Source organism: Homo sapiens, chromosome 9, assembly GCF_000001405.40.
Source record: "Homo sapiens chromosome 9, GRCh38.p14 Primary Assembly".
Taxonomy (NCBI): Eukaryota; Metazoa; Chordata; class Mammalia; order Primates; family Hominidae; genus Homo; species Homo sapiens.
Window position 1 is genome coordinate 87,991,402 of NC_000009.12, and position 14,009 is coordinate 88,005,410.

General features: G+C 41.5%; 1 long non-coding RNA gene and 1 pseudogene across 2 annotated transcripts in view; one reads left to right on the forward strand and one right to left on the reverse strand.

The window, feature by feature from the left end:
• Positions 1–3,327, forward strand: part of LOC105376131 (uncharacterized) — a 20,559-nt gene extending 17,232 nt beyond the window's left edge. The window contains exons 2-3 of one of the 2 annotated variants that reach the window (XR_930089.3): positions 1,276–1,328; positions 2,664–2,830. This is a non-coding gene — a long non-coding RNA (uncharacterized LOC105376131). Of the gene's footprint in view, positions 1–1,275; positions 1,329–2,663 lie in introns of both variants that reach the window. The other variant, XR_930088.2, reaches the window with a different exon arrangement.
• Positions 6,830–6,934, reverse strand: RNU6-86P (RNA, U6 small nuclear 86, pseudogene; annotated as a pseudogene).

Below are 14,009 nucleotides of genomic sequence, written 5' to 3' on the forward strand. Positions count from 1 at the left end.
TCTTTCACTTAGCAATATGCAAGTTTCCTTCATGTCTTTTCATGGCTTGTTAGCTCATTTGTTTTTAGTGCTGAATAATATTTTGTTGCCTGGATGTACCAAAATTTATTTATCTCCTCCCCTACTAAAGAACATCTTGATCTACGGCCATACCACCCTGAACGCACCTGATCTCATCTAAAGAGCATCTTGGTTGCTTCCAAGTTTTGGCAATTATTAATAAAGTTGCCATAAAATGTGTGTGCTGGTTTTTGTGTTGACATGTTTTCACCTTATTTGGGTAAATACCAAAGAACATGATTGCTGGAATGTATGTTAAGAGTATGTTTACTTATGTAAGAAACTGCCAAACTATCTTCCAAAGTGGATATATCATTTTGCATTCTCACCAGTAATGAATGGGGGTTTCTGTTGCTCTATCTCCTAGCTAGCATTTGCTGTTGCCAGTGTTTTGGATTTTCACCATTCTAATAGATTTGTAGTGATAACTTATTGTTTTAATTTGCAATTCCCTAAAGAAATATGATGTTGAACATCTTTTCATAAGCTTATTTGTCATTTGTATATCTTTTTTGGTGAGGTATCTGTTCAGATCTTTTGCCAATTTTTTCTTTTTTTTTAATTTTCAAGTCCTCATATCTCAGATGATTTTGCCAATTTATTTTTATTTTTTATTTTTTTGAGATGGAGTCTTGCTCTGTTGCCCAGGCTGGAGTGCAGTGGCACAATCTTGGCTCACTGCAACCTCTGCCTCCCAGGTTCGAGCAATTCTCCTGCTTTAGCCTCTCGAGTAGCTGGGATTACAGGCATGCACCACCTTGCCTGGTTAATTTTTATATTTTTAGTAGAAATCGGGTTTTGCCACATTGGCCAGGCTGGTTTCAAACTCCTGACCTCAAATGATCCACCCGCCTTGGCCTCCCAAAGTGCTGGGATTACAGGTATGAGCCACTGCTCCCGGACATGTTGTCAATTTTTTAATTGGGTTAAATAACAGTCCTTTGTAAGATATGTCTTTTGCAAATACTTTCTCCCAGTCTATGAATTGTCTTAATATTCTTTTGATGTAATCTTTATATGTTGCTAGATTTGGTGTGTTAGTATTTTGTTGAGAATTTTTTTCATCCTTTTTCATAAAAGATAATGGTTTGTAGTTTTCTTACAATGTCATTGTCTGGTTTTTGTATCAATGTAACACAGTCCTCATAGAATGTGTTGAAAAGTATTTCCTCCTCTTTTATATTTTGAAAGAGTTTGGTGTTAATTCTTTTTTAGACACTTGGTAGAATGCACCGGTGAAGCTATCTGGTCCTGCGCTTTTCTTTGTGGTAAGCTTTATAATTATTAATTGTTATGTGTTTATTCTGAATTTCTATTTGTTCTTCAGTCAGTTTTGGTAGTCTGTGTCTTTCCACGAATCTGGTTTTTTTTTTTTTTTGAGACGGAGTTGCCCAGGCTGGAAGCTCCGCCTCCCGGGGTCACGCCATTCTCCTGCCTCAGCCTCCCGAGTAGCTGGGACTACAGGCGCCCGCCACCACGCCCAGCTAATTTTTTTTGTATTTTTAGTAGAGACGGGGTTTCACCATGTTAGCCACGATGGTCTCAATCTCCTGACCTCGTGATCCGCCCGCCTTGGCCTTCCAAAGTGCTGGGATTACAGGCGTGAGCCACCGCGCCCGGTCATGTCCTATTTTTTATTCTTGGTTTCAGTGATACAAGTCTTCTCTCTTATTTCCTGGTCATTCTAGCTATAATGAAGTTTTGCCAGTTTTATCAATCATTTCAAATAACTAACTTTTGGGTTTGTTAATTATTTATATTGTTTTTATCTTCCCAGTTGCATTTATTTTCCCTCTAATCTTTATTATTTTCTTAATTCTGATTGCCTTGGGTTTATTTTGCTCCTTTTTCCCCAGCGTCTTTTTTTTTTTTTTTTTTTTTTAAGAAATGGGCCTCACTAAGTTGCCCAGCGTAGAGTGCAGTAGCTATTCACAGGTGCAATCATAGCACACTGCAGCCTCAAATTCCTAGCCTCAAGTGATCCTTCCATCTCAGTCTCCTGAGTAGCTAGGACCACAGGCACACACCACCATCCCTGGCGCCCCTGTGTCTTAAGATGGAAGGTTAGATTATTGTTTGAAATCTTTCTTTTTTAAAAATATGGGCATTTATAGCTATAAATTTCACCCTAAGCATTAATTTTGCTGCATCCATAAATTTGGGTATTCTGCGTTTTTGTTTTCATTAATATCAAAGCATTTTCTCATTTTTCTTGTGTTTATTTTTTGTCGCATTGGTTATTCAAGAGTGTGTTGTTTCATTCCCACATATTTGCCAAATTTGTTGTTGATATCTAATTTCATCCCATTGTGAATTTTGGCATTCATAAAACCATACCCCAGAATGACAGCCTCAGAAACAGCCTCAGAAGAAAAAGTTTTTCTCTGACCTTCTCCTACCCTCCTGTCTCTCAGTCCCATTCTCCACCAAGGCTAGCCAGAGACACCTAGAATCCCTTTTCCACAAGGTGGGTTATAGAAACCAGAACCCCTTTTCCCCAAAGCCAGCTATAAAACCTAAAAATATGAATCTAGCCTTTCCTCCATCTTTCTGTGTAAAAACTGGTCATAAAGGATTATCTGACCTACCTTGTTTGATTGTAGGTCATAAGGCTCCGATCCCTGCTGAGAGGACCCTGCTCCACACCCAGAAGGAAAGAAAGCATGCTCACAGAGACCACAAAAAACCTAGACAGACACTGGGTTTCCCCACTCTTTTTTCTTTTTTTTTTTTTTTTTTTTGAAGTGGAGTTTCATTCTTGTCTCCCAGGCTGGAGTGCAGTGGCGCAATCTCAGCTCACTGCAACCTCCACTTCCCTGGTTCCAGTGATTCTTGTGCCTCAGCTACCCAAGTAGCTGGGATTACAGGCGTGTATCACCACACCTGGCTAATTTTTGTGTTAGTAGAGACAGGTTTTGCTGTGTTGGCCAGGCTGGTCTTGAACTTCTGGCCTCAAGTGATCCACCTGTCTCAGCCTCCCAAAGTGCTGGAATTACAGGCATGAGCCACTGCGCCTGGCCTTCTATATTTAAAAACATTATCTTCTTAATGTTGCTTTTGGGATTAAAATTAATAACATATTAATCTAATTTTGATTAATATCAACTTCATTTTAATGGCATCTAAACACTTTGGTCCTATAGCTCTGTTCTTTCCCTTCTCCTTTGTGCTGTTATTGGCAAACAAACTAATTTTTATACATAGAGTATGCATCAACACAGATTTATAATTATTGAATTATTTCTCTATGTGGCTGTCTTTTACATCAAATAAAAGAAAGAGTTACAAACAAAAATACATGTATACTGTCTTTTACATTTGCTTATGTAGTTATCTTTATTGGTACTCTTTATTTATAGGTGTGGATTCTTATTACTATCTAGAGCCCTACAATTCAGTACAAAGGTCTCCTTTTAGCATTTCTTATAGGGCAGGTATATTAGTCTGTTCTCAGGATGCTATAAAGAACTGCCCAAGAGCTGGGCGTGGTGGCTCATGCCTGTAATCCCAGCACTTTGGGAGGCTGAGGCAGGTGGATCACCTGAGGTCAGGAGTTTGACACCAGCCTGGCCAACATGGTGAAACCCCGTCTCTACTAAAAATACAAAAATTAGCTGGATATGGTGGCAGGTGCTTATAATCCCAGCTAGTTGGGAGGCTGAGGCAAGAGAATCACTTGAACTCAGGAGGTGGAGGTTGCAGTGACCGAGATCATGCCAGTGCACTCCAGCCTGGGTGACGGAATGAGACTGTCTCAAAAAAAATAAAGTCAGACACTTTAGACCATTATTTGTTAATATATTATTTCTGCCCTTTCTCTTCTCTCCTTCTGGGACTCTCAGTGTGTATATATTGGCACAGTTAATGATATCCCACTGATTCATTTGTATTCAATTTCATTCATTTTTTTTTCATTTTGTTCCTCAGGCTAGATAATGTTCATTGATGTATTTTCAAGTTTGTTTATTCTTTCTTCTGAGTGTTTAAATCTGCTGCTAAGCCTCCCTAGTGAACTTTTCATTTCAGTTACTGTAATTTTGAACTACAGAACTTCTATATGGTTCTTTTTAATATTTCCTCTCTTTTTCATTAATATTCTCTATTTGGGAAGAGATTATTCTCATACTTTTCTTTAGTTCTTTACACATAGTTTTGCTTAGTTTTTGAACATATTTAAAATAGGTCGCTTGGCACGGTGGCTCATGCCTGTAATCCCAGCACTTTGGGAGGCCGAGGCGAGTGGATCTCCAGGTCAGGAGATCGAAACCGTCCTGGCTAACACGGTGAAACCCCGTCTCTACTAAAAATACAGAAAATTAACCGGGTGTGGTGGCAGGTGTCTGTAGTCCCAGCTACTTGGGAGGCTGAGGCAGGAGAATGGCGTGAACCAGGGAGGCGGAGCTTGCAGTGAGCAGAGATCGCACCACTGCACTCCAGCCTGGGTGACAGAGCAAGACTCTGTCTCAAAGAAAAAAATAAAATAGGTGATTTAAGGTCTGTCCAGTAAATCAAACATCTGTGCTTTTCAGGGATAATTTTTGTTTTCTGCTTACTTTCCGGCTTGTGGACCATACTTTTTAAATTCTCTGCAAGTCTCATAACTTTTTGTTGAAAACTGAACTTTTAAAGTAACGTATTTTGGCAACTCTGGAAATCAGATTCTCTTTCTTCCTAAAGGTTTATTGTTGTTGCTTTTGGTTGTTGTTTGCTTCTTTAGTGTATTTTCTGACTTGGTTGAGTAATGTCTGTTTTCTTATCATGGTGGCCTCTGAAATCTCTGCTTAGTTAGCTTAGTGATCAACTAATAATTAGAGAGAAATTTCCTTAAATACCTGAAACCACTAGGTTTCTAGTCCTTGCAGAGGGATTCTGTGTATGTGCTGGGACACACTTTCAACACTCAGCTAGGAAGTTGCTAACTGGGACTTATCCTTCACTTCCTCCTTACATAGAGCCTCAGGATGACCCAGAGATGAGAATTTAGGGCCTTCTCACATCTCTTCCGAGCAGGCACATAGCCCTGGGCATGCACACATTACCATACATGTGCATGGCCTTCTAGATTCCCAGGAATATGTCAGAGTTTTTAAAGCCCTGTCAGCATTTCATTCCTCAGCCTTTTCTTTCAAGCTTTTTGGTTAGCCTGTTGTTTGCCCAAATTGTTATCTACTGCATCATGCAGCTACAAAATCAATAAATTGCTTCTAATGTCCCAGGGCAAAGGCTTTTTGCACTGGGTTAACTGCAAGTTAGGTGAGATAAAGATAGCGTTATTGAGTAGGGTATCCAGGAAACCACTAGACGAGTCAAATAATGACAATTCTCTGGGAATGAGGGTTTGAAGGATTTCAAATCCTGCTATGCCCCTCCATTAGCTGCCAAGCTGCTGGTTTCATTGGCAGTTGTGAGCTGTTTTATGGAGCTGGTCAAGAAGGGATGGGACTAGAACCAGTGATGGTATCACAAAGCTCACTGTCCTTCCTGAAATTCAGCCACTTTCTTTGAATAAATACTCTCTGAATTAATTTCCAGAGTTCTGAAAATGTTTGATTCTGACCATTTTTTGCTACTTTTCTTGTTGCTTTTATATTGGACAGAATTTTGGAGATTTAATCTGCTGTTGTTTTTCCTCTTAATTGTACTTTTAACTTTTATCTTTATTTTATCACACTTAATAACTACTCATGGTTAATCCAGGTACAGTATTAAAAATCAGTGAATTCTCAACAATAGAAGATTACATAGAACAAAAATGTCCTACAACAGAAGATTAGTTGGAACAGCTAAAGGTCTAACAATATGTTGGTTTCAAAGGTTCATTTGCAGCTTGTTTCTTTTTTCCTCTTTCCCTTCTGCTATGGGCTGACTCTGTCCCCCCAAATTCATGTGTTGGAAGCTTAATCTCCAAGACAACAGTGTTAAGAGATGGGCCTTTGGGGAGGTATTTAGGTCATGATTAATGCCAGTATAAAAAGGCTTCTGGCTGGGCGTGGTGGCTCACGTCTGTAATCCCACCACTTTGGGAGGCCGAGGCGGGCAGATCACCTGAGGTTGGGAGTTTGAGACCAGCCTGACCAACATGGAGAAACCCTGTCTTTACTAGAAAATACAAAATTAGCCGGGCATGGTGGTGCATGCCTGCAATCCCAGCTACTTGGGAGGCTGAGGCAGGAGAATCATTTGAACCCGGGAGGCGGAGGTTGCAGAGAGCCGAGATCACGCCATTGCACTCCAGCCTGGACAACAAGAGTGAAACTCCACCTCAAAAAAAAAAAAAAAAAAAAAAAGGCTTCTAAGGGTGGGTTTGCTCTTTTTTGCCCTTCTGCCTTCTGCCATGTGAGGATGAAGCAAGAAGGACCTCACTAGATGCCAGTACCTTGATCCTGGACTTCACAGCCTCTGGAACTATAAGAAATGCATTTCAGATCTTTATAAATTTCTGTCTCAGGTTTTCTGTTATAGCAGCACAGAAGGGACTGACACCTTCTTATCACTATTCAAAGCAAGTTCAGTGAAAACAACCTCACTCCATTCAGATGAGCAAAAGTCATGAACTACCCCCATAATCATGTCCACCCAGGGACAGCCCCTGCTGAAGCCTGGGTTTACATCCTGTTGGATTCTCACTCTTACTCTCTCCTTTGGTATACCTTCATATACTTATTCTTTCAAAATATGCTTATGTATTTATGCTACAAATTTGAGCTCATAACCCAACAGACTGGTAGTTTTCATAAATTCTGATTTTTTTTTCTTTTTTTTTTTGTTTAAATATGGAACACGTCATGAATTTGTGTGTCATCCTTGTGCAGGGGCCATGCTAATCTTCTCTGTATCGTTCCAGTTTTAGTATATGTGCTGCAGAAGCAAGCACATAAATTCTGATTTTAATATAAAATATTTGAAAAATTAGTAAGTGCATGAATTAAAATATAAATATTAGCACAGATATATAGTAAGGAGGCAGGTTCCTTTCTGCAGCCAAGATGACCTGTATCCAGCAGTTCTTTGTTTTTTTTTTGTTTGTTTGTTTGTTTGTTTGTGACAGAGCCTTGCTCTGTCAGCCAGGCTGGAGTACAGTAGCACAATCTCTGCTCACTGCAATCTTTACCTCCTGGGTTCAAGCGATTCTCCTGCCTCAGCCTCCTGAGTAGCTGGGACTACAGGCAAACACCACCATGTCTGGCTAACTTCTGTATTTTTAGTAGAGACAGGGTTTCACCACGTTGGCTTCAAACTCCTGGCCTCAAGTGATCCACCTGCCTCAGCCTCCCAAAGTGCTAGGATTACAGGCATGAGCCACATTCCCCCGGCCCCAGCAGTTCTTTCTTGACAGAGGTGTTCTATGTGTATATGAAGAAATGGGAGTGAATAACAAACTTTACACACTGATACAAACTTTAAATTTCCAGACAAAAGTAATGGTAGTGGAACTAGCATAGAACTATCTTTCTTTTAGACCTCTGTTCTCCCTCACTGAGCCTCCAGCTTCATGCAATCAAAAATTCATTAGCGCATCAGTTTCTCTTCTGGCTCCCGTAACAATTGGTTCCTAGTGACATGGTCGGTTCAGGAGCCTAAAACTCATCTCGACAACTTTTTGTCCTTCAGGAGTAATGTCAATAGATCCCTCATTTCTGGACTTTATATTCACTTACTCTATATTAATTTTCTCTCTCCTCCTCTTATTTATTTTAGAATGTGGAATTCCCTTTATGCTTTAGCATCTTTATCCACAGACAATATCCATCTCTCAGAGCTGCTGGGAGGATTCCATGGAATCTTGTGTGAGATACTCTGACCATAAGTTAACAGTGAGTTATCTGTCTAGAAAAGGGAGCTCTCATTTATCAAAAGGGAGCTATGCAGGACCCCAGGTTATTCTGTGTATTCAGAATACACAGAATACGTTATTTTGCCTTATCCCATCCAAGCCAATGAGCTTGAAAGTTCTCAACTGAAACTTTCATTGAAAGTTTTCTCAATGACAAACAAACAACACAAACCCTCTTGACTAGTTACTCCAAGTATTACTGGCAGACCAGCAGCTTCAGCCTCCTGTAGGTGCTCGTCACAAGTGCAAATGCTTGAGCAGCACCCCAGACCTACTGAACCAGACTCTGCATTTTTAACAAGGTCCCTTGATGACTCAGATACACACTACAGGTCAAGAACGACCCTCTATAAGCTCTTCTTCATGAAGACATGAGTCCCATTTTCTACGCAAGTGCCTGCAGTTCCTTGGCTGAAGGAAGGAGACAACAGCTCTCATAAAGGACCTTTGTGAGGGTTAAATATTAATATATTTGCAGCAAGTGTTTTAAACTCTAGCTCTAGTTAATCTTTCTGCTCCCCTCTACAGCTTCTCATCTCCCCCAAATTCACTATTTTCTCAAGACTAAAACTGGATCAGTGGCTTCCCATGATGCTTAAATCATGACTTGATCCACTGTTACTTGATCCATTAAGTAATAAATCAGTAAACCTCTGCTGAGTGTCCATAATGTGCCATCTCCTGGGCCCAGGTCCATGAACCAAGCTTCGATCTCAGGGAGCTTCTGTCTCTACCTGAGCATGTATAGGCTCAGACAGGGCTCAGAGCACAGCCATCTGCAGTAGGTTTCTCAAACTGCTCTTCACCATCTGGGGTACCATGACAACTACTGCGTTCCCCCTCTTCAATTGGGGATAATAATAATAATATTCCTCTCAGAGGGTTACTGCAATGATTTAATGAGATCATCATGTTACTGGCCTGTCCATAGTAAGTCCTTAAGACCTCAATAAATGTTTGTTATTATTAAGTCTTTACAAGCCTGGAGAAGTTAAATAATAATGTATTTAAGGATCTAAAGTGCTGCATAATAAATGCTGGATTATGTATTTTACCCTAAATCTTCTAGAGCTTTTCATCCCAAATCTCCTTGTAGTTCCATGTGCTACAAAACAGCTTCATTCAGTGGTGTATGACTAAATGTCTATCAACAGGCCTTATAGGGAGTTATTATATATATTTTATGAGTTTATTATAAATTTTACTGATATAAAGAATATATAGCACACAATTTACTACTAATAGTAAAATATACAATACTCTATCACAAATTTTATGCACCTATGACTTCACTTTGAACTGCTATTTCTTGTAAAATCCAGAAGAGTATTTAATAGTTTTGTTGCCAACATGAGAGAACTTCACTTGCGCAATGATATGGGTGACTTCTAATAATTAGTCAAATAAATAGAAAGTGATGAGTTTGAGCATTCAATACCTGTGTGTTTAATATAATGTATTTAATTACAAGTTTATATGATTTAATTTTTCATAAATGATTGTTGATATGGTTTGGTTGTGTCCCCCACCCAAATCTCATCTTGAATTTTAACTCCCACAATTCCCATGTGTTGTGAAAGGGACCTGGTGGGAGGTAATTGAATCATGGGAGTGGGTCTTTCCCATGCTATTCTCATGATAGTGAATAAGTTTCATGAGATCTGATGGTTTTAAAAACGAGAGTCTCCCTGCACAAGCTCTCTTGTCTGCTGTCATGTGAGATGTGCCTTTCACCTTCCACCATGATTATGAGGCCTCCCCAGCCACATGGAACTGTAAGTCCAATAAACCTCTTTCTTTTGTGAATTGCCCAGTCTCAGGTATGTCTTTACCAGCAGTGTGAAAATGGACTAATACAGTAAATTGGTACCGGGAGTGGGGCATTACTGAAAAGATCCAAAAATGTGGAAGTGACTTTGGAACTGGGTAACAGGAGAGGTTGGAACAGTTTGGAGGGCTCAGAAGAAGATAGGAAAATGTGGGAAAGTTCAGAACTCCCTAGAGACTTGTTAAAGGGCTTTGACAAAAATGCTGCTAGTGATACGAACAATAAGGTCTAGGCTGAGGTGATCTCAGATGGAGATGAGGAACTTGTTGGAAACTGGAGCATAGGTGATTCTTCTTATGTTTTAGCAAAGAGACTGCTGGCATTTTGCCCCTGCCCTAGAGATTTGTGGAACTTTGAACTCGAGAGAGATGATTTAGAGTATCTAGCAGAAGAAATTTCTAAGCAGCAAAGCATTCAAGAGGTGACTTGGGTGCTATTAAAGACATTCAGTTTCAAAAGGGAAACAGAGCATAAAAGTTTGGAAAATTTGCAGCCTAACAATGCAATAGAAAAGAAAATTCCATTTTCTGAGGAGAAATTCAAGCCAGCTGCAGAAATTTGCATAAGTAGCAAGGAGCCAAACATTAATCTCCAAGACAATGGGGAAAATGTCTCCATTGCATGTCAGAGACCTTTGCAGCAGCCCCTGCCATCACAGGCATGGAGGCCTAGAGGAAAAAGTGGTTTTGTGGGCCAGGCCCAGGGTCCTCATGTTTTGTGCAGCCTAGGGACTTGGTTCCCTACATCCCAGTCACCCCAGCCATGGCTGAAAGGGGCCACCATAGAGCTCCAGCCATGGCTTTAGAGGGTGCAAGCATCAAGCCTTGGCAGCTTCCATCTGGTGTTGAGCCTGGGAGTGCACAATAGTCAAGAATTGAGGTTTGGGAACCTCCGCCTGGATTTCAGAAGATGTATGGAAACACCTGGATGTCCAGGCAGAAGTTTGCTGCAGGGGCAGCGCCCTCATGGAGAACCTCTGCTAGGGCAGTGTGGAAGGGAAATGTGGGGTGAGGGCGCCTACACAGAGTCCCTACTGGGGCACTGCCTAGTGGAGCTGTTAGAAGAGGGCTATCATCCTCCAGGATGGTAGATCCACTAACAGTTGGCACCATGTGCCTGGAAAAGCCACAGACACTCAATGCCAGCCTGTGAAGGCAACTGGGAGGGAGGCTGTACCCTGCAAAGCCACAGGGGCAGAGCTACTTAAGACCATGGGAAGCCACCTCTTGCATCAGCATGACCTGGATGTGAGACCTGGAGTTAAAGGAGATCGTTTTGGAGCTTTAAGAATTGACTGCCCCACTAGATTTCAGACTTGCATGGCGCCTGTAGTCCCTTTGTTTTGGCCAATTTCTCCCATTTGGAATGGCTATATTTACCCAATGCCTATACCCCCATTGTATTTAGGAAGTAACTAAACTAACTTGCTTTTGATTTTACAGGCTCATAGGTGGAAGGGACTTGCCTTGTCTCAGATGAGACTTTGGACTGTGGACCTTTGAGTTAATACTGAAATGAGTTAAGACTTTAGGGGACTGTTGGTAAGGTATAATTGGTTTTGAAATGTGAGGACATGAGATTTGGGAGGGGCCAGGAGCAAAATGATACGAACTGGCTGTGCCCCAACCCAAATCTCATCTTGAATTCTAACACTCACAATTCCCACGTGTTGGTGGGAGGTAATTGAATCATGGGAGCAGGTCTTTCCCATGCTATTCTCATGATAGTGAATTACTCTCACAAGATCTGATGGTTTTAAAAATGGGAGTCTCCTTGCACAAGCTCTCTTCTCTTGTCTGCCACCATGTGAGATGTGCCTTTCACCTTCCACCGTGATTGTGAGGCCTCCCCAGCCACATGGGACAGTAAGTCCAATAAACCTCTTTCTTCTGTAAATTGCCCAGTATCTGGTATGTCTTTATCAGCAGTGTGAAAACAGTCTAATACAAGTGTTTTTAACAATTAGCTTGCAAAATTTAATAATTTAATAATCAACTCTCTTGGCCAGGCACAGTGGCTCACGCCTGTAATCCCAGCACTTTGGGAGGCCGAGGCAGGCAGATCATGAGGTCTGGAGTTGAAGACCAGCCTGGCCAACATGGCGTCTCTACTAAAAATACAAAATTTAACCGGGTGTGGTGGAAGGCACCTGTAATCCCAGCTACTCAGGGAACTGAGGCAGGAGAATTGCTTGAACCTGTGAGGCAGAGATTGCAGTGAGCCAGCATCATGCCACTACACTCCAGCCTGGGCAACAAGAGCAAGTCCATCTCAAAAAAAAAAAACAATAATAATAATCAGCTCTCTTAAGCTAACAGAGCCAGTTCCATCTCAGAGATAAGGAAAATTTAGTATTGGGATCAGATCCATAACTGCTTGGCTATATTTCATTATAATTTTGTTATTTTAAATATCTTTATTATAATTTATTAATACTCCTAAGGAACTTTATTGTAAGCTCATAGTTTTGTGTGTGTTTTCTTGAAATAAGATCTCACTCTGTCACCCAGACTGGAGCATGATCTCAGCTCACTGCAGACTTGACTTCCTGGGCTCAAGTGATCCATCTGCTTCGGCCTCCCAAAGTGCTGGGATTACAGGTGTGAACCACTGTGCCCAGCCAAGCTCATAGTTTAGAAAATGATAAACCTAATTCAATTGCTACCAATTTGTGAGGATTCTAGCTTTCCCTCCCCTCACCTTTATCATCATAAAGTCATTTATTACTTCCAAAAAAAAACTTATAAAAATTATAGACTTAACGTTTCTTCTCTAATGGTTATTACGGACTAATATTTTTTGAGCTGATATACAGAAAGCAAAATCAAGTGCAGGTCAAATTTTGGGCATAGAAATTAAAACACGAGGACAGATTGAGTATTTTAGAAAGGATTTGAATTTGAATACCTTAGGCAAGGAAGGCTGGCACCCTCAGAGCATTCCTGCCACACCCTGCTGTTACACTCAGCTGCTTAGGTCCCATGTGGATTAAAGACAAGCAAGTTCACAGGAATTGTCTAGTGTGGCTGTTTACTGTCATCTTGTGCATAGGGAAGGAATTTAAGAACCGGCCGGGCGCGGTGGCTCATGCCTGTAATCCCAGCACTTTGGGAGGCCGAGGCGGGTGGATCATGAGGTCAGGAGATCGAGACCATCCTGGCTAACAAGGTGAAACCCCGTCTCTACTAAAAATACAAAAAATTAGCCGGGCGCGGTGGCGGGCGCCTGTAGTCCCAGCTACTCGGGAGGCTGAGGCAGGAGAATGGCGTGAACCCGGGAAGCGGAGCTTGCAGTGAGCCAAGATTGCGCCACTGCAGTCCGCAGTCCGGCCTGGGCGACAGAGCGAGACTCCGTCTCAAAAAAAAAAAAAAAAAAAAAAAAAAGAACCAAGCCCCCAAATCATACTAAGTCATTGAAAAGCTGCATGTGTACTGATTTCTTATGGTAATTGTCAAGAATATCTAAAATAATTCATGAACTGGCTTAGACTGGTTCCTGGCATGTAGTAAGCACACAGTCAAATTAAGTTGCCATTATTATTATTGAGTGTGTATTTCATGATTGAGGGAATCTAGTCATCTAGAACATGGTCAGAACGTGTGGGAAAAAAAATTAAAGGGGTTTGGTTCATTTCAGTCAACTGGGGGAGGATGGCCTTGAAGACAGCTGATACACAGCCTTGGTGAAAATAAGTTTGGAAAGAATAGTTTTAGTTCCTCAATCACTCTTAATATTAATCTCTCTTTCTCATACTTGTTTCTCTCCCTTCTATCTCTTGCTCCCTGTCTCCCCGTCCCTTCCCCCCTTCATCTCCCCCTCCTGTCTCCTCTCTCTTTTCTTTCTTTTTTTTTTGAGACGGAGTCTCACTCTGTCGCCCAGGCTGGAGCGCAATGGCATGACCTTGGCTCACTGCAACCTCCGCCTCTTGAGTTCAAGCAATTCTCTGCCTCAGCCTCCTGAATAGCTGGGATCGCAGGTGCCTGCCACCATGCCCAGCTAATTTTTTGTATTTTTAGTAGAGACGGGGTTTCACCATCTTGGCCAGGTTGGTATTGAACTCCTGATCTCGTGATCCACCCGCCTCGGCCTCCCAAAGTGCTAGGATTCCAGGCATGAGCCACTGCGCCCGGCTCTCTCTTTTCTTTCAGGGAGCGGAGTGAGGCATTGAGATCGGGTGGGTTTTGTTGTGGTTCTGGCTCCTCCCCTTCTAGCTCCCTCAAGTTGGAAGATTCCGAAAAATGCTGTAAACCTCATTTTTCTTATGTGAGTAATGGAACTAATGTCATA